This window comes from Homo sapiens, chromosome 20 (assembly GCF_000001405.40).
Source record: "Homo sapiens chromosome 20, GRCh38.p14 Primary Assembly".
Classification (NCBI taxonomy): domain Eukaryota; kingdom Metazoa; phylum Chordata; class Mammalia; order Primates; family Hominidae; genus Homo; species Homo sapiens.
Window position 1 is genome coordinate 42,630,155 of NC_000020.11, and position 24,057 is coordinate 42,654,211.

At 41.5% G+C, this 24,057-nt stretch overlaps 1 protein-coding gene and 1 long non-coding RNA gene across 14 annotated transcripts in view; one reads left to right on the plus strand and one right to left on the minus strand.

Moving 5' to 3' along the window:
* PTPRT (protein tyrosine phosphatase receptor type T) overlaps window positions 1-24,057 on the minus strand; it is a 1,158,017-nt gene that overhangs the window by 598,265 nt on the left and 535,695 nt on the right. The gene's annotated exons all lie outside the window — the stretch shown is intronic.
* LOC105372624 (uncharacterized) lies at window positions 689-17,400 on the plus strand. 3 transcript variants are annotated; one of them, XR_007067589.1, is made up of 5 exons: window positions 689-777; window positions 4,203-4,301; window positions 14,741-14,880; window positions 15,345-15,476; window positions 17,321-17,400. It is a non-coding gene; the product is annotated as an uncharacterized LOC105372624 (long non-coding RNA). The 3 variants fall into 3 exon arrangements; XR_007067590.1 differs by having other exon boundaries at window positions 14,741-14,876; XR_007067591.1 differs by lacking the exon at window positions 689-777 and adding an exon at window positions 975-1,060.

Genomic DNA, 24,057 nt, shown 5'->3' on the forward strand with positions numbered 1-24,057 from the left:
GATGCTACACTGCTACCTTTGAAGATAGAGGAAGGGGCCATGAGCCAAGCAGTGCAGACAGCTTCTAGGAGCTAGAAAAAGTCAGCCGACAGATTCTGTCCCAGAACCTCTAGAACCAACACATCCAGGCAACACCTTGATTTTAGCCCAGTGAAACCCATTTCAGACATCTGACTCCCAGAAGGCCAGAAGATAATAAATTTGTGTGGTTTCAAGCCACTATGTCTATGGTAATTTGTTATAGCAGCAATGATAAACTAATACAACAGCCCTGACTTGGGGGGAGGGTAAAGGAAAGAGCCACACACCACCACCCTCTCACCATGGGAGGAATAGTTGAAATGAACACATGACTTCAGGTCCCCAACAAAGAGCTGAATGGGTTTCAGGCTAGCTTGCTAATTCATTCACCAATTCTCAGCTCTGGTGTTGCTTGATTCAGAAGGTAAAGACAATTTTTAAATTTCCTTAATTTCAAAACTTAATTCATCCAATGCATTTAATTTAAAATCATACATTATTTATCCACAAATCCTGATACACAGGGAAAGAAACAGAAATATTTGCTGGACAGGTGGCATGGAAACAAAGGGTTATTAGCGATTGCCATGCAGGCCTAAGTGAATTCACAATGACCATCATGACATCATGTCTGTTGTTACTATCAAGAGCGTTGCTCTTGGATAAGTATCAATAACCTCAGAACTATGGAAAGAACCATGTGTGGAGTTTGGCACCACAGATATTCTCTGAGTGATTGAAGTCTCTTCTACCATGGTGAGTGGTACCATGGAAGTAATCTTGTCCCCAGGCCTCCTAAGCTTACTTATGATGAAGTGATGAGACTCTTACCCAAGAAACCATTACAGAAAAAAAAATCCTCGCCTAATAAAATTGTGCCAGTGAACAAACTCTCAGATATATGGCCATATTGACAAGATCTGCAATGGTATCAAAAGAGGTCAAGCTAATAACCTGAGGAAACAGGAAGAAAACTCCAATTGTCTTATACAGAAGGTCTACAATCAATAGGATGAAGTCTAACACTGGCGAGAGTGGGGTGAGATGGATGAACTTCTCTACCACCTGGTGATGAAATACATTGGGATTCTATGAAAAAGCATTTTTTTCTAAACTCAATTTCCATATTAATTTTAGAGCTATATGTAATTAGTTAAAAATGTTCCTGAAGACTTAAATCAAGATAATCTTTTAGAAGTAACAAAATGATCTACACATGAAAATACTCAATTCAGCTTCACATATTGCCACATGTTATGTTCCCTGAGAAGCAGACTCTGAGAGTTTAGCATGTAGATGTTTTAAGTGGTTTCCGTGGGGTCAACAGCTATGCAGAATAGGGGAAGTTAGCAGGAATGGGGCAGAAATAGAAGTCAAGCTGTGAGGTAGGCCCAATAACATCTTCAGCTAACCTGCTGGGGAGCTCTAAGGCTGGAATGTGAGTTGTCCTGTTTTGGGGATGAAATGGTAAAACATTTAAACTCTTGATTCTCTGAGTCAGTGAACATTGGCTGCCCCAGGAAGGAGCCCAATCTTGGGCAAGGCAACTCTCTAAAGCTGAGGGGATTCTTGAAGAAGCTTGTGTAAATGAATGAATGAATGAATGAATGCAAGCTTGTGCAAGGTTAACCCAGTGGACTTGGGGTACTCAAACTCTGCACATTTTAAAGAGAAGACTGGCCCCTTGACCATCCTGGGAGATAACCTATAAGCCTTTGGAATACCTAGCCTGATACAAATGTCTTTGTGTATCTGGGGTCTTGGGATATGCCAGATAGTTTATGCAAACAATGTGATTTATGGTGAATGCCTGTTTTTGTTCACCTGGGGCCCTGGTCATGCTGTATTGGTTGGACGCCGGAGACTGAGCAGTCATGGAGGTACCCCAGGCCTATGTGACTAGCCCCCAGTAGAAACCCTAGAGACCAAAGCTCAGGTGAGCTTCCTTGTTGGCAATCCTTCCTATGCATTGTCACACACTGTTGCTGAGAGGATGAAGCATTGCTGGCACAACCCCAAGATCACACATGCTTTCTCCTATGCTGTTTTTGTTGTTGTTGTTGTTTTGTTTTTTTGTTTTTGAGACGGAGTCTCACTCTGTCGCCCAGGCTGCAGTGCAGTGGTGCGATCTTGGCTCACTGCAATCTCTGCCTCCTGCATTCCAGCGATTCTCCTGCCTCAGCCTCCTTAATAGCTGGGATTACAGGCCTGGCTAATTTTTGCATTTTTAGTAGAGATGGGATTTCACCATATTGGTTAGGCTGGTCTCGAACTCCTGACTTTGTGATCCACTCACCTCGACCTCCCAAAGTGCTGGGGTTACAGGCGTGAGCCACCACACCCGGCCACTATCCTATGCTTCTTTTAAAACCAGCCGTTCACTGTTAATCTGTATTCTTTTACTATATTATCTATATTTACTATGTTTACTAATTTTTACTGTATTACTAATTTTATATATTATACTAAATTTATGTAATATTACTAATTTTACTATATTTTACTATATTTATTAATATTTACTATATTAATATATATCTTTTACTATATTAAACTGGAACATGAGTATAGCAGCTTTCCTGAGTTCTGTGAGTCCTTTTATAAATCATCAAGCCTAAGGATGGTCTCAGGGACCCCTGACATAGGGCTAGCACTTAAGAGCAGCCTGCTAGCTGTAGTCTCAGCAGCTAGGGTAACAAATCCTTTCTTGAAGGGATAGCCAGGTGGCACATCACAGTATGTACCTATAAAAGCTAGAAACAAGTGAAATATTCATAAATAGGACATCTATTTGGCAAAGTAGAAGTTAGGAAGTACCCAGCCAAGCTCTGCCTCATGGAATAAGAGTGCTTTTTGAGAATGATTCCAATATCTATCTTCATTTGCTATACATATGGAGAAAACAGTCCTCTCAGTTTGGGGAGAAACTCTGAATTATTCTTAAAGAATCTCTGGTTATCCCCTCTAGCTTACACTGAACATTCTAGGTCCTTGAGAAGATCCTCATTTCAAAGGCAATAGAAACCATCTGAAATTGATTCATTGGAAAATGTATATGCTATTAACACCAGAGAGCAGAAGTAGACTGGCTAAAATATAGCAACTTGAAATATATTTTATGTACTGGAATTTGATCAAATAGATGGATAACTTCTGGAATGATGACAGCAAACAATCTTTGGAAAAACACATGACTGTGCTTGGAGAACGGTATCATAGTTTTTAAGAAATGTACACTGCATAGCTAGATAGCATAGCAGTGTCCATTTAAACCCCAATCTAACACTTCGTTGTAAGTTGACAGTAGGAGAAAATGGTTATTAGAATATGGTTTGACAGGCCAGGAGCTATGGCTCACACCTGTAATCCCAGCACTTTGGGAGGCTGAGGCAGGAAGATCACTTGAGGCCAGGAGTTCGAGACAGTGCAAAACCTCATTGTCTTTACTTAAAATACAAAAATTAGCTGAGTGTGGTAGCACACGCCTGTAATCCCAGCTACTCTGGTGGCTGAGGCACGAGAATTGCTTGTACCTGGGAGGTGGAGGTCACAGTGAGCTGTAATTACACCACTGCCCTCCAGCCTGGGCAACACAGCAAGACTCTGAAAATATATATATATATATATATATATATATATATATAATAAAATATTAATATATTATAATAATATAATTTATTATATATAATTATCTATAATATATTATAATATAATTATTATATATAATATAATATATAATTATATATAATATATTATAATAATATAATATAATATATAATTATATATAATATATTATAATATATTATATATTATATTATATATATTATATATATATAATATATATATAATATATATATTATATATATTATATATATATTATAAATATATAATATATATATAATATATATATAATATAATAATATATATATTATAATAATATAATATATTATATATATAATTATATATAATATTATATATATGGTTTGATGGGTTACTTGATAACTGCCAATTCAGTCTTGAGATGAGGAACAAAACTGAAATATGAAACATGACTGGTCTGGTAGACCACAGGACTGCTTCTGGTCCACCGACTGTGAACGTTAATGATGTGTGTTCATTGCTGGGTTGAGGTAAGTATGAGTTGGTGCACTACCCCCTATTTCTCTCTTTCTTTGTCACAGAGGCCTTGAAAGCTCCATGATAGAGATGACAGAGCTATAAGATGAAAGCAGCCCAAATCCCTGAGTCACCAATGTTTGAAGAAGAGCTTCCCAGGAGAGGTACCAGACCCACATGAGACTTCACATGATTATAAAATGAACTTCTATTGTGTTGAATCTCTGAACTTCAGGGTTGTTTTGCAGCACAGACTACATTATAGTGACAAGTAGAGGAAGGTACAGGCATGCTAATTTCATTTTAAAATTAATCAAGGATTGTCAATGGAAAATAAAGATTTCAGATTCCTTGCACCTTAAAAAAGACGAAAAATATGTCTTTTTTCTTCCCCAACCCCTGCTTATGTGAAGCATTATAGTCTAATAGCTGGCATTTTAGAGAGATGAAAAAGATGAGTTTGCTTCAAAATGTATATATGACCAGACTGTAAATTCACATGCAACGCAGTCTGCTTTGGGAGTTAAACATATTATTTAAACAAATCATTATAACTTGACTTATTATACCTCAATTTGATTATAAAACAAACATTAAAGTGAAATCTAAGGTAAGTCTTTTTTATTTCCAGTTCCAAAGCCATTTCCATTTCTTACTTATCTTTGAATCCTCAGCCCCAAGCACAGTGCCTGAAACACAGCAGGTATCCACAATCTTTGGATGACTGAATGAAAAGGAAAGTTTAAAGTCAATTACCTTTAATCTTGCTTGTGGTTTCTCAGAGCTAATTTGAACACTAGATGGAGAAATACTGAAAAAAAATATTTTTCAGAAAGGCAAGCATCCTCTTGGTCTGAGAGGTTTCATAACAAGTTAATTTTATTTTAAATCAGTATGAATGGATGGATGATAAACTTTGGAAAGTCACACTTAGAACTACATTGAAAACAAATGAATGTGTCCCCAGATGAAAAATAATAACTATGTAAATAAAATTTGAAATAACCACTTGATAGCAAAGAGAACTCCAGTATCAAGAAATATTTTAAATTCCATGCAATGGTTAATTATATTCCTGAAATCTATGCACAAAAGGGCAAAATTGAAGAAAAAAAAGAATATAGGTTAAGATGAAATTCGTGAACAAGAACCTGAAAAATATAATAGGCAACAATGTGCTGCATTTCCACATTTAAGAGGCTTTAACATCCATATTTTTCTCCCATGTGCAATTACATGAACTTATAATCCTTGAAAAATTGTTATTATTTTTGTTGCTAAAACTGCTTGTAATAGGAGTCACAGATATGTGTAGTAATATGCTCAGATGATTACATTTGAACAAATACCATGGTAATAATTCTCATATTTGGAAATGCTAGAATCTGAATTACACATACAGTTTGTGGCATCTCTTTTTTGAAGCCTTAGATTTTATTTTATTTTTTGTTTTAAGACCAAGTAAAAATCCAACTTTCAGCTAATGGAATTCTAGGTCTAGTTGGTAGAACGAGATCCAGATGGAGTTCAAAACACCTGCTGAATAGTATCTGTAAACTGCCAGCTTGATATCGTCACCAAGAATTCTGCAAGCTGAGTGTCCACATTGGAATCTTAAGGACTTGCATACAGTGTAGTTATATATAACTCATAAGAACTAATTATTAACTACTAGACTGTGAGGACTCTTTCTTTGGCTTTTAAGGAAAGTCACCGAGTTAATGCTGAATATATTTCTAAAAAATTGTACTTATGAAATTAATAGAGTTGACCGACAATTTGAATAATATTAGGCTACAGTAACCTCGAACTTGATTACTCTTATACATGGTAAAACAATCCAGAAATCCTGGGGAAGGGTTGTTTATTATGGCTGCATGGAGGTTGCCCAAGCCCTGGCATTCTTTTACAGTTTCAAGGGAGGGCAAAAGTCTGAAGTGGGTAGGGACTGAGCCATACTTAATAATTTAAACTTAGTATCATGGAACAATTCACACCCGTTACATACAAGTTAAATAACCTTCATGCTGTGTTGCAAACTGCTCTTCCTGCTATACTTCAAACAGATAGAATCATTTTACAAAATAAAATTACCAAAATGAGGATATACTTCATAAAACTGTTCAAGGGAGAAGCAAACCTTTGGTGAAGAGTGTGATATAATCACCAATGGCTTTAAGAATGCCATTGGGAGGATCTTAAAATGGAGATGGGCCAGATGCAGTGGCTCACACCTGTAATCCCAACACTTTGGAGGCTGAGGTGGGGGCATCACTTGAGATCAGGAGTTTGAGACCAGCCTGGCCAACACGGTAAAACACTGTCTCTACTAAAAATACAAAAATTAGCTGGGCATGGTGACGCATGCTTGTAATCTTAGCTACTCAGGAGGCTGAGGCAGGAGAATTGCTTGAATTCAGGAGGTGGAGGTTGCAGTGAGCCGAGATCACACCACTGCACTCCAGCCTGGGTGACAGAGTGAGACTCCAACTCAAAAATAATTAATTAATTAATCAATTAATTAAAATAAAATGGAGATGAAGGATGGAAGTGATGGTGAGATGTGCAAGTTCCAGCATGTGTGGATCTGATGGCTTTTGAAAGTATCAACTGTAGGGATTCTATCATATTCTTACAGGAACCTAACAGTGTTGATATATATGATGAAATATAGCACTCAAACCTTCATGGAAGATGGTGCCTCTGACTCTGGAGGGATACAATGAGGAGAGAGAGCACACAGCCATAGTCGAGGTCTCCAAGTCTATCATGCATCAGCATCACCAAGAGGGTTTCCTAAGATTTAGATTGCTGGATGCCACCCCCAGAGTTTCTGATTCCATAGGTTTAAGTGAGGACCTAATAATTTGCATTTTCAACAAGTTATCAGGTTATTCTGACACTGCTGGTCAGGGAACTATGCTTTGAGAATTACTGGTCTACGTGTTTCACTTAGAAGCCAGAATGGTTCACCACTGTCTCCTTCTCACTGGGCTAAAAATCCAAAGTCCTAACCATTGCCAGCAAGGATCTATGTGATCTGGGCCTTAACAATCTTTCTGACATCATCTCCTGCCAGTCTCCTTGTTGCTAGCACCACTCAAGGCTCATTGTCCTCCTTGCTGATCCTTACATATGCCAAGCTTGTTCCCCCCTCACATCCTTTGCAATTGCTGCTTGCTCCCTCAACCCAGAATGGGGTTCCTGCAGATCTTCAAAGGGCTTGCTATCTCACTTCATTCAGTTCTTTGTGCAGAGAAGCTTTCCATAACCATCCTACTTAAAATCGCTCTTCTCCACAGTTCCCCTTTCATTACTGTCTGTCCCTTCCCTGAAAATTTTTCATATCATTTTCACCTGAAGAATAATATTTATTTACCGATTGTCAGCTCCTCTAAGAACAGGGACTTGGTTTGATTCACTGCTGAGTTCCCAGTGCATAAGAAAGTATCTGACACACAGTAGGCATTCAATACAAATTTGTTAAAGAAAAGGATGAATAATTGATTGAATAAATAATTTTAAGAAAGAGCAACTGCAAATATATTAGCCAGCCTCCAAACTGACAAAGCTAAGAGGGTAAAGGTCTGAGATTTAAAAATCAAACTTGCATCTATGAAAACACTCTATAAATAAGAATGTACACTATATGAGAGAATTTCTGTTATACATAAAGAAGGGTGAATTGTATCTACTCACAGGAGCCAATTGTGCACATCTCTTCCCAACCCAATATTCAATAACTTTACACTGATAGGGAGAAATCAGTCACAGTAGGAATATTTACACCCAGGAAATTGGCAAACATTACAATTCAAGGCTTATTTTTATCAGCACACTACTGATTCTATCCATAGATAAACACATTCCATTACTCAGTTTGATAGCCTCACCCATGTACCTGTCACCCAGACCAGAGGTGAGACAGGTTTGTTGCCAATTAAAGGAGGGAAAATGGGACATCTCAGTATAACAGATTGGGATAGACTGGGAAGCTTATCTAAATCTTACTTCAGGATGTCCATTTAGCGGGGCTGAACATCTACTTTGCCCTGCCTGAGCGGTCGAAACATAAAACAGGTGGACATGGGGATGTGTGCTTTTGAAGATACTCACCCTTCGCTCCTGCTCTACATGTATTATGGGGAAACTGATCCTAATCTTGAGTCTATGGATAGAATATATGACTCATATTATTCAAGTCTAAAGTTGGGCCCAACAATGGATTTTCAGTTACACAAGTCCATAAAATCTCCCTCTGTCTTACTTATGACTAAATGAATCCTGACTATGCTGTGCTTTTTTAAAAGCAGGATATAAAATAGTACAAACCCAAGTTTGAGCACAAGTAAATCAAATACATACTCAAGCCACAAGTGACAGAATGGAATAAGCACCGAACCAGTAAAATTTCTTTATTTTTTTGTTGGTAGTTGTACAAATCTATTCTTTGTCTAAACATTTTTGCTTAAATTTTAGTCACATTGTTTCTGCAATTAAAAAATCCATAATATATAGGTTGAATTTCAATTTTCTTCTCTGTTTATAAACTGTTTTCCCACACATTAGAAAGATGTCTAAGATAAACCCATGAATTAATGGAGAATTAAAATGGCAGAGCCAATTTAAATACCACATATTTAAACAAACACTAGAAAAAAAATCTCTTGCAACAGAGATTGCTATAGCACATTAATTATAAGGTTTCAGATAGATTTTTGTAACTCAAACATAAATTTTAAAGAACCTTCCCATTTGTTTCTTTAAGTTATTAATGTCTCCAATAGAAGGACAAGTTGACCTTTAAATCTGAACCAGCTCAGAAAAAGGCCCAAATGCACACTTGACCTCTTCTACAAGGAGCCTATTTTAGTCACAATACAATTTTACCCACTCACAGGTGCTCTGTAGCAGCCTGACAGTGGCATTTACATTTTTTTTTAAATAAGCTAAGAAATAATAGAACAAGGAACACTGGTAGTCACTTGCTTTAATTGTAACTTTGGGCCTCTGTTCTGTCTTATCACCCATTTTAGCTGACGAATGCACTTCCTCATTCCCTGTTTTCCTCGTGGTAAAGTAAGAAACTTGAATTTGAAACCAGAGCCCTGAGTCTCCTATGCCCTGGCCATCCACTGCCTTTGCATGCAGCCTCTGTTCTGGCCCTGAATCCGCTCTCTCCGCAATTCCCAGAGCATTCCTTGGGTCTCAACTCTAAGGAAGCATATTCCTTTCACGAATCATTTTGTAGGGGACACAGGAGGGTACATTCCCCTAGCACAGCCTACAGCATTTCACTAAAAAGCACCCAGAGAACTTTCCCTAAAGTCTCCTCCTTAGCCCACAGTCTTCTGGGCTTTCCAAGCTTTCCCACTTTTTCTCTTCTTGATGTCCCTGTCTGTTATATTGCTCCTAAATTTCAGGACACTAGGAGACACAAACCAATCAAAAGATTTCACATGCTCTTTTAGGTATTATAATTCAGTGTTTACAAATTATCTAGACATTAATTAGATCCCTCTCTTCTACCTTCCTGGTAATCTTACTCCATTCTTTCCAGGCACCTGTCTTTTTACTCTGGCCATGGTCCGTCAGCATTTCAAATTGTCTACGCCGCTTCTGCTTTACAAAATAACCAGAAAATCCCTCTCCCCCCAACCCGAATGAAGCTGGGAATTTTAACCTGCCATCTGTCAGCAGCTATGGACCTATATGATATCTCCTTTTGACAGCCAAACATCATAAAAGTGTTGTCTACACAGATGGAGTTCATTCTTTACCTGCTACAATCTGGTTTCTGCCCATACCACACCTCTGTACCTGCCCTCACCAAGTCTAACAAGTTCTTAATCAAATGGGCATGTTGCACCTTGTGTTACTTGAACCAACGTGAAGTGTAAATCCCACACATTAGAATATTAGAGATTTCATAAGCACCAGTAAAATTTATTTTTTTATTGGTAGTTATATGAATCTATTCTTTGTCTATACATTTTTGCTTACATTTTAGTCACATTGTTTGGTATAAAGAGTGTAACACTAGTTACCATTCACTGGGAACTTCATTCACTGGGCACCAATCTTTAAGTATAGAGACTTCTTTAAAAAAAAAAAATTTTTTTGAGACAGTGTCTTGCTTTGTCGCCCAGGCTGGATGGAAGTGGCATGATCTTGGCTCACTGCAACCTTTGGATTCAAGTGATTCTCGTGCCTCAGGTTCCCGAGTAGCTGGGATTAGAGGTGTGCATTACCATGCCCAGCTAATTTTTTTATTTTTAGCAGAGATAGGTTTTCACCATGTTGGCCAGGCTGGTCTCGAACTCCTGACCACCGCCTCAGCCTCCCAAAGTGCTAGGATTACCTGCCATGCCACCCAGCGAGAATCTTCTCTAATCAACACAAGTATTGAAAATAAGCATTGGGAAAAAAATGTCTAGAGATGTTTGAAATTAGTGGAAGACTTAAATCTACATTGAGGATCACCATTCAGCTTGCCTGGGCTGCCTCTGTGTCAGTCAGATTTTGCTTTCTAGCTGGAAACCACCCTTACTCCATCTGGGAATTTGAAATGTGGATTGTTCCTCGGGCCCCACCATTAATGACAACACAAACACATATTTTTACATGATTTTAATCATTGTGTATGTTCAATGGTGTCTCCTGGCTTATTTATTTAGCATTATATCATAAGCATGTTTAAGGTTGCCCAATAGCATCTATAATTACCATTTTAATTGCTGCATAATATTCCACTAAGTGGATGGTCATGATTTACTAAGCCATTACCATAGTGTTGGGAATTTAGGTTGCTTCCAATTTTTGCTACCATAAATTGCCCTGCATATAGCATTTTCCTAGGTTTGAATTAATTCTTTAGGATAATTTCTCCAGCATTGATTGCTGGTTTAAAGAGCATGAGCCATTTTTAAGACCTTTCATACACATTTCCTATTCCTTCCAAAAGGACTGTGCTAATCTGTCACTAGCGATGTGTGAGAGGCCTTCCTAAGGGTAATTGCATGAACTGATAAAGTGTGCACTGAGAACAGCCTGGAACCCTGGATGAATAAGCAGCAGTGAGAGCTGAGAGTATAGGATATATTGAAGAATTATAGGTCTGCAAGAATTGTCTTTGATGGGGGCTTTATACATTCTCTCTGTCTCCTCGCTCCCTCGCCTGAAAATCATTTACAGAGTCATTAATGAGGGTCTCTATCATAGGTCAGGCATCAGCTTTTCTGTAAACCAAAGCCTACAGACTTTGGAAAAGTCCCTCTAAGTCTGTGATCCACACAAACACTGTGAGTATGCTTTGCCATCACTGGGAGCCAGATTAAGGCTGAATGTAATTCTTTCCAGTGGACCCAGAGAACTTGCAAATGGCTTGGATGAGCCATTTATGACTGATATTCCCTGGAAAAGAACCTAAGCAGTTGGAATAAGCAGCCACAGAGACCAAGAGTGGTAAAGAGAGGCAAGGCAAAGGCTAGAGAGGCATGATATGATACCTCCATGCCCAGGCAAGACCTGGTGTCGACAGAGGGAGCAATGCTTGGAGCCTGAAGTCCCAGTTTCCAGTCCCAGCTCTATCTTGACTATGCAGCCTCATACTGACTTCTAAGCGTCTTAGAGTGCCCTCTTCCAAGAGGACCCAGATACCTGTCTCACAGGCTAACATGGAGCTGAGATGGGAGAGCATAGAGCTTGCTTTGAAAGATGCAGGGAACTACAAGGTTATTAAATCCAACTCAGCAACCAGACTGTTTACACCAGCAGTGTGCCTGTCCAGATAATATTGAATATGTCTGGGAATTCAGCCTGGGGAGACAAGTGAGTGCCAAATGGTCTGTTTCTGCAAGGCTGCCACTAAGAAGAGGATTCACACACTCCTGGAAACCCTTCAGAGCAGTTCAGGTTATTGGGCCAAAGCTAGAGGGCCTTGGGTGTGGGCTCAGAATTAGATTTTCTGCATATTAATGATCATTCTTTCACATCACACTATATGAATGACTTCCAACTATTTCCAAGTTATTTTCCAACTGACTGAGAAAGCTCTGATCCTTACTAGTTGTGGGACGTTGACAGAGTTATGGACCTCCCTGAGTCTCAGTGACTTATTTGTTAAATGGAGATAAAAATGCCTACATTTGGAGTAAGATAGGGAATAGTAATAATCTTGATGGTGACAACAATGATAATAATGTGAATAATAATGTGAATCTGTAGAGTTAATACAATGTGCTCACTCTGAGCTAAACTAAGGACTGTATGTACATTATCCCACCTAATCCTCATAACAGCCTCCGGAGGTAGGAACATTAAATACCTGAGATCAATGAGGTACCCAGTGAGTGGTAACTAGTATTACACTCTTTAATACCAATAATTCCCAAGGAAGAATAACCTAATTAGTTAGTGGGAGAGCAGGATTGTTGAAATGAGTATTGCCTCAAGGATTAACCCCACTTTGGGAGGTTAATGTAAAAAACCAAAGTGATATTGATTGTGTTAATGAATACATTTAGTGCTCTCCTTGGATCTGTATTTGACTTGTAATTGGGTAGTTTCCTCCCACTTTGACTCTGGGCTTGGCCACATGACTTGTTTTGGCCAATGGGACAACAGCAAACTGTGGGCAAGTGGATGCTTGAAAAAGTGCTTGTGCATTTCTGCTTCTTCTCTTGGATCCCTACTTCTTCCACGAGAAGACACCCCAAGGCCAGGCTAGCTTATTGAATGTCAGACCAGGTGGACCAAAGTGGAGTCACCCAGCTGAAGCCACCTGAGACCATCTAGTTCCAGCTGACCTGCTAGTTAATCCAAGATGCACATTGAGTATTGTTACGCAGCATTATTATGGCAATAGCTGACTGATGCAACCAGTTCCATTACTTCACACATACTATTTTCTTCATACATGCTGATAACACCTGGTGAATAAGCATTTTGCCAAAATTCTACATGGATTGTATCATTTATTCCTTATACAAAAACCCATGAGGTACATGCTGTTATTACCCTTACTTTATTTTATTTATTTATTTTTTGAGAGAGGGTCTTGTTCTGTCACCTAGGCTGGAGTGCAGTGGTGCAATCACAGCTCACTGCAGCCTCAACCTCCCAGGTTCAAGTGATTCTCCTGTCCTCAGCCTCCTGAGTAGCTAGGACTACAGGTACATGCCTCCACACTCAGCTATTTTTTTTTAATTGAGACAAGGTTTTGCTACGTTGCCCATGCTGGTCTCAAGCTCCTGGGCTCAAGCAATCCTCCCAACTTGGCCTCCTAAAGCACTGGGATCACAGGTGTGAGCCACCATGCCCAGCTACCTTCACTTTCAAGATGAAAATATAAGGTGCAAAAATTTAAATACCTTACCCAAGCTTACAGTTAGTGATGGGCAAGCATTTCAAGCTGGGCAGCTCAGCTTCAGAGCCTCCGCCACAACCACTATGCATTGCTTTGTGCACACTATAAGAGAGCTCCTCATACCAAGCTGCTTTATACGACTGGTTGCAACCCTCCCCTTGCCTGAGCATAATGCCTCTATGGACCTCCCTTTTCAGCCAGGCCAGGCATCATGAATCAAGAGCTGGCTGCCTTCCTCTCTGAGCTTATGGCTCCTTCTCCTTCTTTGACAAGGTGCTCTGGGAAGAGAGAACACCATCAGGAAAGAAAGCCTTCTAGCAAACACAAGATCCACAGATTGAAGGAGTGAAGTGCTCTTCATGATGCAGTGCTCTTAAAATCCAGGCTGTGTGATGGGCCTGAAGAGACCCGCAGAAAACCAAGGGGGCCCTAACTGCACTCTTGCCACTTCTCAGTAAAGTCCCAAGAATCCCAATCTGCAACTGAGCCTTCAACAGGCTGTGCAGGTTTACAGCCCTGTTCTCATCCAGGCCTCATTGTCTCTGTCACCTGGACCTTTGTGACAGCCTCCTCTTAGGGCCTGCAGCCTCCAGACTCACCTTTTCTAATCCGCCTTACACTCCAAACCAGAGAGACTTCCCAAAACACATGTCACTCTCTGCTTAAAGCTCTGCAATGTGTCCCTGAGATGAAATACCTGAAAACATCATCCAAGTCCCCTCCCAATTTATCAGTACAGCCTTCCAGGTCTTGGGCACTGATCTTCATGTTTCCAAAGCAGAGTACAGGGCTTTCCTTTGTCTATGTTCATGCCCCTTCTCTTATCAATATGCTCTTCATCACTAGGTTAGGCTCTTACCTGTGCATCTTGTATTTGGGCACAGATACAGGGGACAGGGGCTATAGGATGCAATGAAGAATAAGGTGTTTTGCATGGAGGGTAATGACCCTGGGTCTTCCTCATCTCTGGTCATGAGCCCTCAAAGTCCAGAGACTCAGCAAAGTGGTCTTCAGTGTAACCCCAGAGCCTGGCCCCAGGAGCACTCAGGGACTTTCTGGGAGGTAGGCTGTGAGTAAGGAGCTCCAGATTCATACACATTAAGGTAAAGACCTGGGATAATGATCAGCAATTCATTTACATTGCCTTAATCACAACACTTAGTCCTTAAGCAATAACTTATATTCATATGTATTGCACAGATTACTAAGTATGTGCTCTTCCATTTCTCATTGAAGGTACAGTAAAAGCCTTGCCATCACTCCCATTATACAGAGGAAGAAACTGAGACCTAGAGAAGTTCAGAACCTTGCTACATCAATCAGAAGTACAAGCCAAGGCTCATGAAGTGGTTTCCTTATTTTCTCACCCCAAGTTAGTAAGTCTGTAACTTCTCCTTCACAGTGCAATTTGTCACGCAGTCTATGGCACTGTAGAATTTGGCTATAGATCCCTAAGTCAGAAAAGTCCATGTTTGGAGAACTACTAGTAAGTCAAGACAGAGGAGTGTGACAAAGGCTGACAAAACCCTACCTGCAGCCTGGAGGTCACAGGCAGCCTGCTTTTTGAGTCTCCCTGAATGGAGGGGAAGGGGCTCTCCCTGAGGGAATGTGCTCAACTCTGGGTCGTGTGGAAGAGTTAGGAAGTTAACACTCCATGAGCGACCCTCATCCAATGTCGGCTGGGAATGGGTGGATAAATACCCTAACTTTCTAAGGTATATGTGTGTCCAGCAGGGCCTCCAGTGGGGATGAACCACAGTTGGCCACAATGGTAACCTGCCCATTAACACACCCTTCATTGGTCTTTATTCCCTTCCCTGAGCCTTCACTGTGTTTTCAGGGATCACCTCCGAAGGAAATGACTTACACCCAAATCAGGATCTGTTTTTGAGGGAACCCAACATAACACATGGAGAGATGGGTTTCCTATGAAGAAGGAAATATGGGCTGTAAAATACCACGGAGAGTCAGAGTAAGTACAGGCGGCTACAACAAAGATAGATCAGGTCACGGAGGTCTCTGGGAATAGAGGAAAGCCACCCAGAGGAAAAAAGGACATGACTGCCACTAGCACCATATGTATGTTTCAGATGGGATGTGTATTTATGTGTGTGTGTGTGTGTGTGTGTGTGTGTGTGTGTGTGTAGGGAGGGGTGACAGAGAGAGAGAGGCAGAATAAATATCTTGGTCATTGGTTACAAGCCAACAAAACTGAAGTGATGAAACTCAGTGAGTTTTATAGAAATGTGCTGGAGATGCTTCAATTACTTTCTCAATAGGTCTATTTTGATAACTGAATGAAAAGAATCCATGTGAAGCACCTACCACTCTTCCTGGCTTGTAGTGAACACACAAAAAGAATTGTTGATTATTGTAGTAGACACTGTAGTGTACCTCCTAGATTCTCCTTACCCAGCCACTATACCCATCCCCATTGCTGTGAGGTCAGGTGCCCAGGAATCACAGCATCCCACCCACCCTTCCCTTGCTCCAGGCAATGCCCTCAACTGGTAGGTGTCACTTTGCCCAGAAACTACCATTCTTCTCCAGGGGACCCACGGCCAAGGGCAAACTGGCATAGGCTATGCAAGGCTGGCCCCTGGCAGAATGTATGTGGAAGGGGCAACTCTTCAGTGTGCTTTATGGACCATGGACCAAATCCAGCTCTCCATTTGCTTTTGTAAATTGTTATTGGAACACAGCCACCCCATTCCTTTTTGAATTGTCCATGGCTGCTTTCCTGCTACAACAGAAGTTGAGTTATTGCAACAGAGGTCGTCTGGGCCACAAGATCTAAAGTATTTACTCTGGCCCTTGATGGAAGAAACTTGTCCACCGAGCCCTAGAGCTGCACTTCCAATATGGTAGCCATTGGCCATATGTGGATATTTCAATTTAAATTCATTAAAATTAAATAAAATTAATATTTCAGTTCTTCAACTCCAAAAATTACATTTTGAGTACTCAGTAGCCATGAGTCGCTGGTGACTCTCCTATCAGCCCAGATACAGAACACTGCCATCTTCACAGGAAGTTCTGTTGGATGGTGCTGCACTATAGGCTTCAGCTTCTGGGTAAAACTAAGGGGATACTTAACCTGACCACATTCTGACTCAACCCCACCCACATCCCTCCCTCCTCAACAGGTTCCTCCCTCAATAAATCACATGTACCTGTTCTCCTATCTCAGGCTCTATATCTAGAGATCCCAACCTAAGACAGCCTTTTTTTTTTTTTTTTTTTTTTTTTTTTTTTGAGATGGAGTTTGCTCTGTCGCTCAGGCTGCAGTGCAGTGGCGTGAACGTGGTTCACTGCAGCCTTAATCTACTGGGCTCGAGCAATCCTTCCACTTCAGCCTCCTGAGTAGCTGGGACTACAGGGTGTGTTACCATGGCCAGCTACTTTTTAAAAATTGTTTTGTAGAGATGGGGTCTCACTATGTTGTCAGGGCTGGTCTCCAACTCCTGGGCTCAAGTGACCCCTCCCACCCTGGCCTCCAATGTGTTGGGATTACAGGTGTGAACCACCATGCCCAGCCTCCAATGACTAAGATAGTTATGATATGCTTGTATTGCATCCCCAGGTTCATATCTTTGCCATTCTTGTGATGAGAGTGTGGGCTACTAAGACACAGGGGAGGATGCCAGGTTCACCTCTAAATCTCCAGTCTCCACTACAGTGTCTGTCACAGAGCAGCATTCAGTAAATAATACATGAATAAATAAAGTAAATAAATGGTCCCCTCATATGCTGTACCCCTGGTGTCCCGTCAACAGCCCAGAGCTCCTCTTAATCCATTCCCACTGCACGTTTCAGGTTCAATTTCTCAGACATTCACTTTACCCGGAAGTCCAGCTGTGACAGCTAATAGATGAAACCATCCAATTTGCAAGTTCCCCTGAGTCTCTGCTGTAAAATCAGCCTGATCCTCAGGAAGTTCCACACCTAGGTCTCCACTCTCAGCCCTATGACCTCACCTCCACAGACTCTGCACTTGAGCATTCCACCCTCAGCGCTTGTGAAAGGAGTCATGGGAGACACAAGGCTGGAGGATGTGTCTGCATCTTCAGAAACCCGCTAACAGGGACAGCGTCTGTGATACCGGCTGACGCTCATTAAACCAAGGCTCTAGTAGCCTGTTCCTCTCAGATTTCAGAACTAAAAGAACAGTCTGGTTATCCTGACTTCTTCTTTTATCATAAGATGCTGCAAGTCGAATCTACAGCAGTCAGGGTTAAGAGAAATCATTAAGTAATAACAAAGTCAGGAGTTTCTTCTCTGAGGTAAGCTTTGCTGGAAATTTCTCGTCCCTACTCAAGATGGCAACCAAGGACACTTTGGAGATAGCAGCTTAGAAATGGCCCTGAAGTGGGTCTTTCCTTAGACTTTAGGTGAAAACACTTTCCCCTGATCCTCTGGGGAAACGGCTCCCCTGAGGTTGTCTGGGGTTTTTACAGAGCTCTTCTAAAGACCCTGGGCCTTGGGGCATGCTGTTTAATTTACTGGGTTATTGGCTGTCATATTGAAGACAAATGCATCCAAGGAAAAAATGGCTCAAGAAGAACAGACTCCTCCATCACTTCAATCAAGGGGTCCTTCACGAACATGCTTCATTAACAGCAAAAAGGGCTGTTGGGGTGCTTTGTCCTTACTCTACATCCCCCTCTCAGCTCTGCAAGACTACTGCTGTCCTCCCAGCAAACCAAGCCCGGCAGAGAGAGAAGCCATCACAGGAACACAGTTGGCCTCAGCAGCCTGATGCTCTCAAGGAATGTGTTGAATCACTACACAGATAATCAGAAGGCAGCTGCTAAGGTTCAGAAGAGAAACAGCAGGTTCTATCATTAAGTGAGAAGCTGCCCACATGAAGAGTTGCCCTAGGCCCCCGAATGTGACTAAAACACAGCCCAAGAAGGCCGCTACAGCTGCAATTCCATGCCTGTGCTGAGGCCCCTGCGTGTCTAGCGCCACTGTACTCTTCGACTCCAAGGTGTACCATTCATGTGGAAGGCTATGTAAATCATGCTTCTTGGAGGGAGGCCAGGCCACAGCCCTGCAGGTGGGCACATCCTGTATCAGTCCATTCTCATGTTACTGATAAAGACATACCTAAGAGTGGGTAATTTCTAAAGGAAAGGGGATTTTTTTTTTTGGTGTCGTTGTTTTTTTTTTTTTTTTTTGACAGAGTCTGGCTCTGTCGCCCAGGCTGGAGTGCAGTGGTGTAATCTCAGCTCACTGCAAGCTCTGCCTCCCGGGTTCATGCCATTCTCCTGCCTCAGCCTCCCGAGTAGCTGGGACTACAGGCACCTGCCACCATGCCTGGCTAATTTTTTCTATTTTTTAGTAGAGATGGGGTTTCACCGTGTTAGCCAGGATGGTCTCAATCTCATGACCTTGTGATCCGCCCACCTCGGCCTCCCAAAGTGCTAGGATTACAGGCCTGAGCCACTGTGCCCGGCCAAGGAAAGAGGTTTAATGGACTCACAGTTCCACGTGGCTGGGGAGGCCTCACAATTATGTCAGAAGGCAAGGAGGAGCAAGTTACATCTTACATGGATGGCGACAGGCAAAGAGGGAGAGCTTGTGCAAAGGAACTCCTTTTTATAAAACCATCAGATCTCGTGAGGCTTATTCACTATCATGAGAACAGCAAAGGAAAGACCTGCCCCCACGATTCAATTACCTCTCACTGGATCCCTCCCATGACACGTGGGAATTGTGGGAGCTACAATTCAAGATGAGATTTGGGTGGGGACACAGCCAAACCATATCACATGCCTTGATGGCCATGCAGAACACTCATCTCTCTCTTTGCTCACCTATAACTGGGGCAGTCTGATTTCAGAATCATACACTCCATGTTCTCACCACATCCTATAAGCCAAGTTCATGGAGGCACACATTTATGTGGTGAAAGTCCATCTCTATAAACGTATCCATAGATTCCTCACAGAGAAAAAGATATGAATGCTGGTTAAAGTAATAACTCCCTCATCTCTGGGGAGTATGGGAAGGTCCTGAAAGAGCCCCTAAGTTATGCTTGATTTACTGCAAAAAGTGTTTGCTGGTTGAGAGCAGACATATCCCTCCCTCAACTTCTCTCTCATGTTTGGAGAGACAACCCAGGTGCAGTTAACAAGAGAACCTCTTTGCATTTGCATAGCACTCAAGCATCTGCAGCACAGAGCCAATCAGAGCCTTGCCTTAGCTCCTGGATGCAGGCAAGGCTTACTTGCCTCAGGTCTATGTTATCCAGGCAAGGGGAAGACAAGGAGGGCAGTAAGAGCCTGCTCCAACTGTGGTCCCCTTATAAAGAGCTCTCCAAAAGGCCCCACCCTCCACCACTCTGCTTTACATCTCACTGGCTAACACTTGGTCACATGACCACACTCAGCTGCAAGAGGGGCATAGTCTTTTAGCACTCACATCATTGCCAGAAAAAAATAATCCCATCTCAGGAAGTAAGAAGGTACAAACAGATATTGGTTAGCAGTCTCTTCCACTTGGCTCCTTTTTTACAGGTGATGAAGCACAGAATGATTAAGAAACTTGTCCAAGTAAACAGCAGAACCAGGACTTGAAATCCAGGTTTTCCCAACCAACCTCCAATACCCTGTCCACTACTTCCTTAACTGACCTTCTGCACCACTGAGGTTTCTGCACAAATCACTGCCAGATGCTATTAACAAGGCAGTATCCTCCCTCCCTCAAGCAATCTCACACACATACATATGCCCTCCTCCATCTCCCTGGGCTCATCAGGATCACCTCATTTTCTAAAATAAATCTGTCACCTCCATCAATCATGAAAAACAATTGCTCAATCAGCTGCAGTAGAGGGGGCCTTTTCAAATCAGGGATTGGACTAAACTGGAATTGACCAGCAGATTCATTTCAATCATCACCTTGACAGTTACAGGCAGACACAGTCACAGAGGCCAGGGTTGTTGAAAGACTCAGCATGCACAAGAAAAGTGCTTTTATTCTCTGCTGCTTGCATTTCTGTCTTGGCTCTGCAGGGACAATAAAGCAGAGGTCATCTCCTAAGCTGCTCTGAGATGCCCAAGAATACTTATGCAAAGATAAAGTAGAAGAGAAAAAGCAATTTCCTTCCTATATTTTTAAGTTCTCAGGAAAACAACCACAGTGGAGAAAATACTCATCTCTGCCAGTGTGTCAAAGAATGACAACGGCCAGGCAAATGCAATTGGATCTTATGTGTTCACAGTGAGAAAAGAACACAATTAAGAAACCCCAGCAATACCTGAATTCTTGAGGAAGTGCATAGACCTCCATTTCTCTGGCGAAGCTCTCCAGAGAGGCCCCCAAAATAAACTAAAGGCTACTTTATTCACTCACTTTTCAAATGGGTGAGTGAATAAAGTAGCCTTTAGTTTATTTTACACGTGTAATTAAATGGCTCTTATATCTGAATGGTGTCAGATTATAAAGGGTTCTATAAACAAAAAGCATTTTGATAAAGGAAAGTGAATTTGGTATATATTATTGTGAGAGAAAAAGATAAATGCCTTTACAGATGGAAAGTCTAAAAATGATGGTATTGAATGTGACAACGGACATATATTAAACTAGAATAAATAGGAATTAACAAACATGGCCAAACCCCTATTGCTTGTCAAAGTCAGATATAAGAAAATATAGGCATACCCTATTGATCTCAAATGTCAGAATCAATGGACATTTGTTTAACTTCTACTTACCAACAACTGTCATGGATATTTTCTCAAATGTTTTCCATTTAGTGACTGTTTCAAATCTATGAGCTAGTCATATTTTGTTCCCATTTTACAGATGAGAAAGCTGAGGCTCAAAGAGATTAAGCAACAGTCATTAAGGGACAGAGGCAGGGGCAGGTCTGGAATCCACTTGCTGTGATTACAAGCCCAGTGAGGTTTCTGTGCCTTGAGCAGTTGCCTTTTCTAGAACATTACTAATGATATTCAAGGCAGGTTGTATTGCTGAGCAGAGACACTGGAAGCTTCATCTAGGTTCAAAGTTTGGGTGTGCCACTCATTAGCTCTGTGACCATGGACAAGTGACTTCCTTCTCCAAGCTTCACCCTCATCCTTAAAAAAGGGATAATATGGCCAGGCACAGTGGCTCATGCCTATAATCCCAGCACTTTGGGAGGCTGAGGTGGGTGGATCATCTGAGGTCAGGAGTTCAAGATCAGCCTGGCCAAAATGGTAAAACCCCATCTTTACTAAAACTAAAAAAAATTAGCTGGGCTTGGTGGTGTGTGCCTGCAATCCCAGCTACTCAGGAGGCTGAGGCATGAGAATTGCTTGAACCCGGGAGGTGGAGGTTGCAGTGAGCCGAGATGGTGCCACTGCACTCCAGCCTGGGCAACAGAGCGAGACTCCACCTCAAAAAAACAAAAACAAAAACAAACAAAAAAAACAAAAAAAAAAAGGAAGATGGATGATACTATATCTTCAATTGCTATTAATAAGTAGAGAATGTAGGTAAAATGCCTGCCACATATTGTTTCTATTCTATTCAAATGACAAAAAAAATGGTCTATTAAACATTCATTATGAAATCAGGATACTTGGAGAGATTCCTTTAAGGGGAATTATCTGCTCTGAATCCACATTGCCATTTGCATGCTTAGACCACGTAGCCCTTCATTCATTTAACAGAACCTCCTTGAGTACTTACTTGCTCAATGCTGGACCATGCTGGGCACTGAGGTACCAGAGCTTAGAAGACACTGTGATCACTACCCTGAGGAATGTGCTGAGGGATGGTGCACGAAGCAGGGTGTTGTAACTTTCCAGCCTGCATCTGGTTATGATTGCTGTGGCTCTCTGGATTCTTTCTGCCACTGGTTGCTGATTTCCTGTTTCCCTCTCAGAGCATCCCCCTCCCCTTCACTCATGAGTCCCAGAGCTCCTAGAAACTCCAATCTGTGCTGTCAGAACCAATCCTACTCATCACATTCCTTTCTTTGCTGCTGGGAGGCTACTGAAGACATTGATGCCTATGGTGCCTCTGATAGCAGGCCAAATCAAGGGCCTGATGGTTGCCAAGGGTGAGTCCCTGCCTTTGTGTCACCTCCCCCATCTTTGTGTCACATCACTTAGTGCAGATTTCCTGAACAGTGTGTCCTTCAGTTCATATGAGGTGCATGTGGTAGAATAATCAGAATGGATCTGGCAACACTCAGACCTAACCCTAAGGACCTCATAAAAGGCAAATTTCCCAGCATTCTCTTTCTCCATCATAACTTTCCAGGACTGACCAGTGCTCTACCAGTTAATAGCACTGACAGCCTACATCATGTGTGAAGTCCTGTGCTCTGTACTGGGAACCCAGCAGATAAATAAGACTAACAGACTGATATGATTTGGCTATGTCCCCAACCAAATCTCATCTTGAACTGTAGTTCCCATAGTACTCACATGTCGTGGGAGGGACCCAGTGGGAGGTTATTGAACCATAGAGGCGGTTACCCCCATGCTGCTGTTCTCATGGTAGTGAGTTCTCATGAAATCTGATGGTTTTATAAGGGGCTTTTCCCCCACTTGCCCTACACTTCTCCTTGCTGCCACCATGTGAAGAAGGACATGTTTGCTTCCCCTTCCATGCTTGTAAGTTTCCTGAGGCCTCCTAAGTCCTGCAAAACTGTGAGTCAATTCAACCTCTTTTCTTTATAAATTACCTAGTCTTGGGTATGTCTTTATTAGCAGCATGAGAACAGACTAATACACACACCTTCAGTCTTGTATGGCTTACAGCCTATCAAGGACAGCATCAAGTATCACAGAATTGAGTGATAATAAAAAGAAAAAGGTAGATGATCTTGCAATCATCAGGTGCAAATTCATGGCAGCAGGCAGCTAAGGAGTGGAAGGCTGGAGGTCAAGGAGAAGCCCACAGATGTGTCTGATCTTCACAGGCCAGTCTAGTTGTGGAATTCTCCCTGACAGCGTATTAAGATACACCTGCATTCTACCTTTGAGAGTAACTGGAATATTTTTGTCATAAAATTATTTTGAACTATTTAAAAAATAGTTTCATTTTCAACATCACTTGGTTTCCAAGAACTTAATAATTTATCACTGTCTGTGGTTTCTCTAATCACTTTGTTCCTTTGGGAATTCTTGATCTGCGAGGAAAACTAACCCACAGTTTATCGTTAAGTGTAATGAAATTTTTTGAACAGTAAATTTGACAATATCTATAAAGGCATGTAGACACATATGTCATAGATAACGAATTCTTGTTAGCTTCAATTATTCAGTATTCTTTTTACATTTTTGAGTCAACATATTGCTTTTCCAGGCCGTAAAACATTTCCATAAGTCCTGAAATCTCCTGACCACAAAGTAAAATAAGGAAAAAGGGCGCAGAAAGGGAGCAGGACAGGACAGGGGAGGCTGGAGAAGCTCTTGCAGGGCTTCAAATGGCAGGAAAGGTAGTGACAACACTCCCAGGATGTTAGAGGCCATGGAAACTATGTAAACTGAGGGAGAAATCAGGCTAGGTTTGGTGTTGGGATGCTCCCCATTGCTGTCCCATAGAGAATG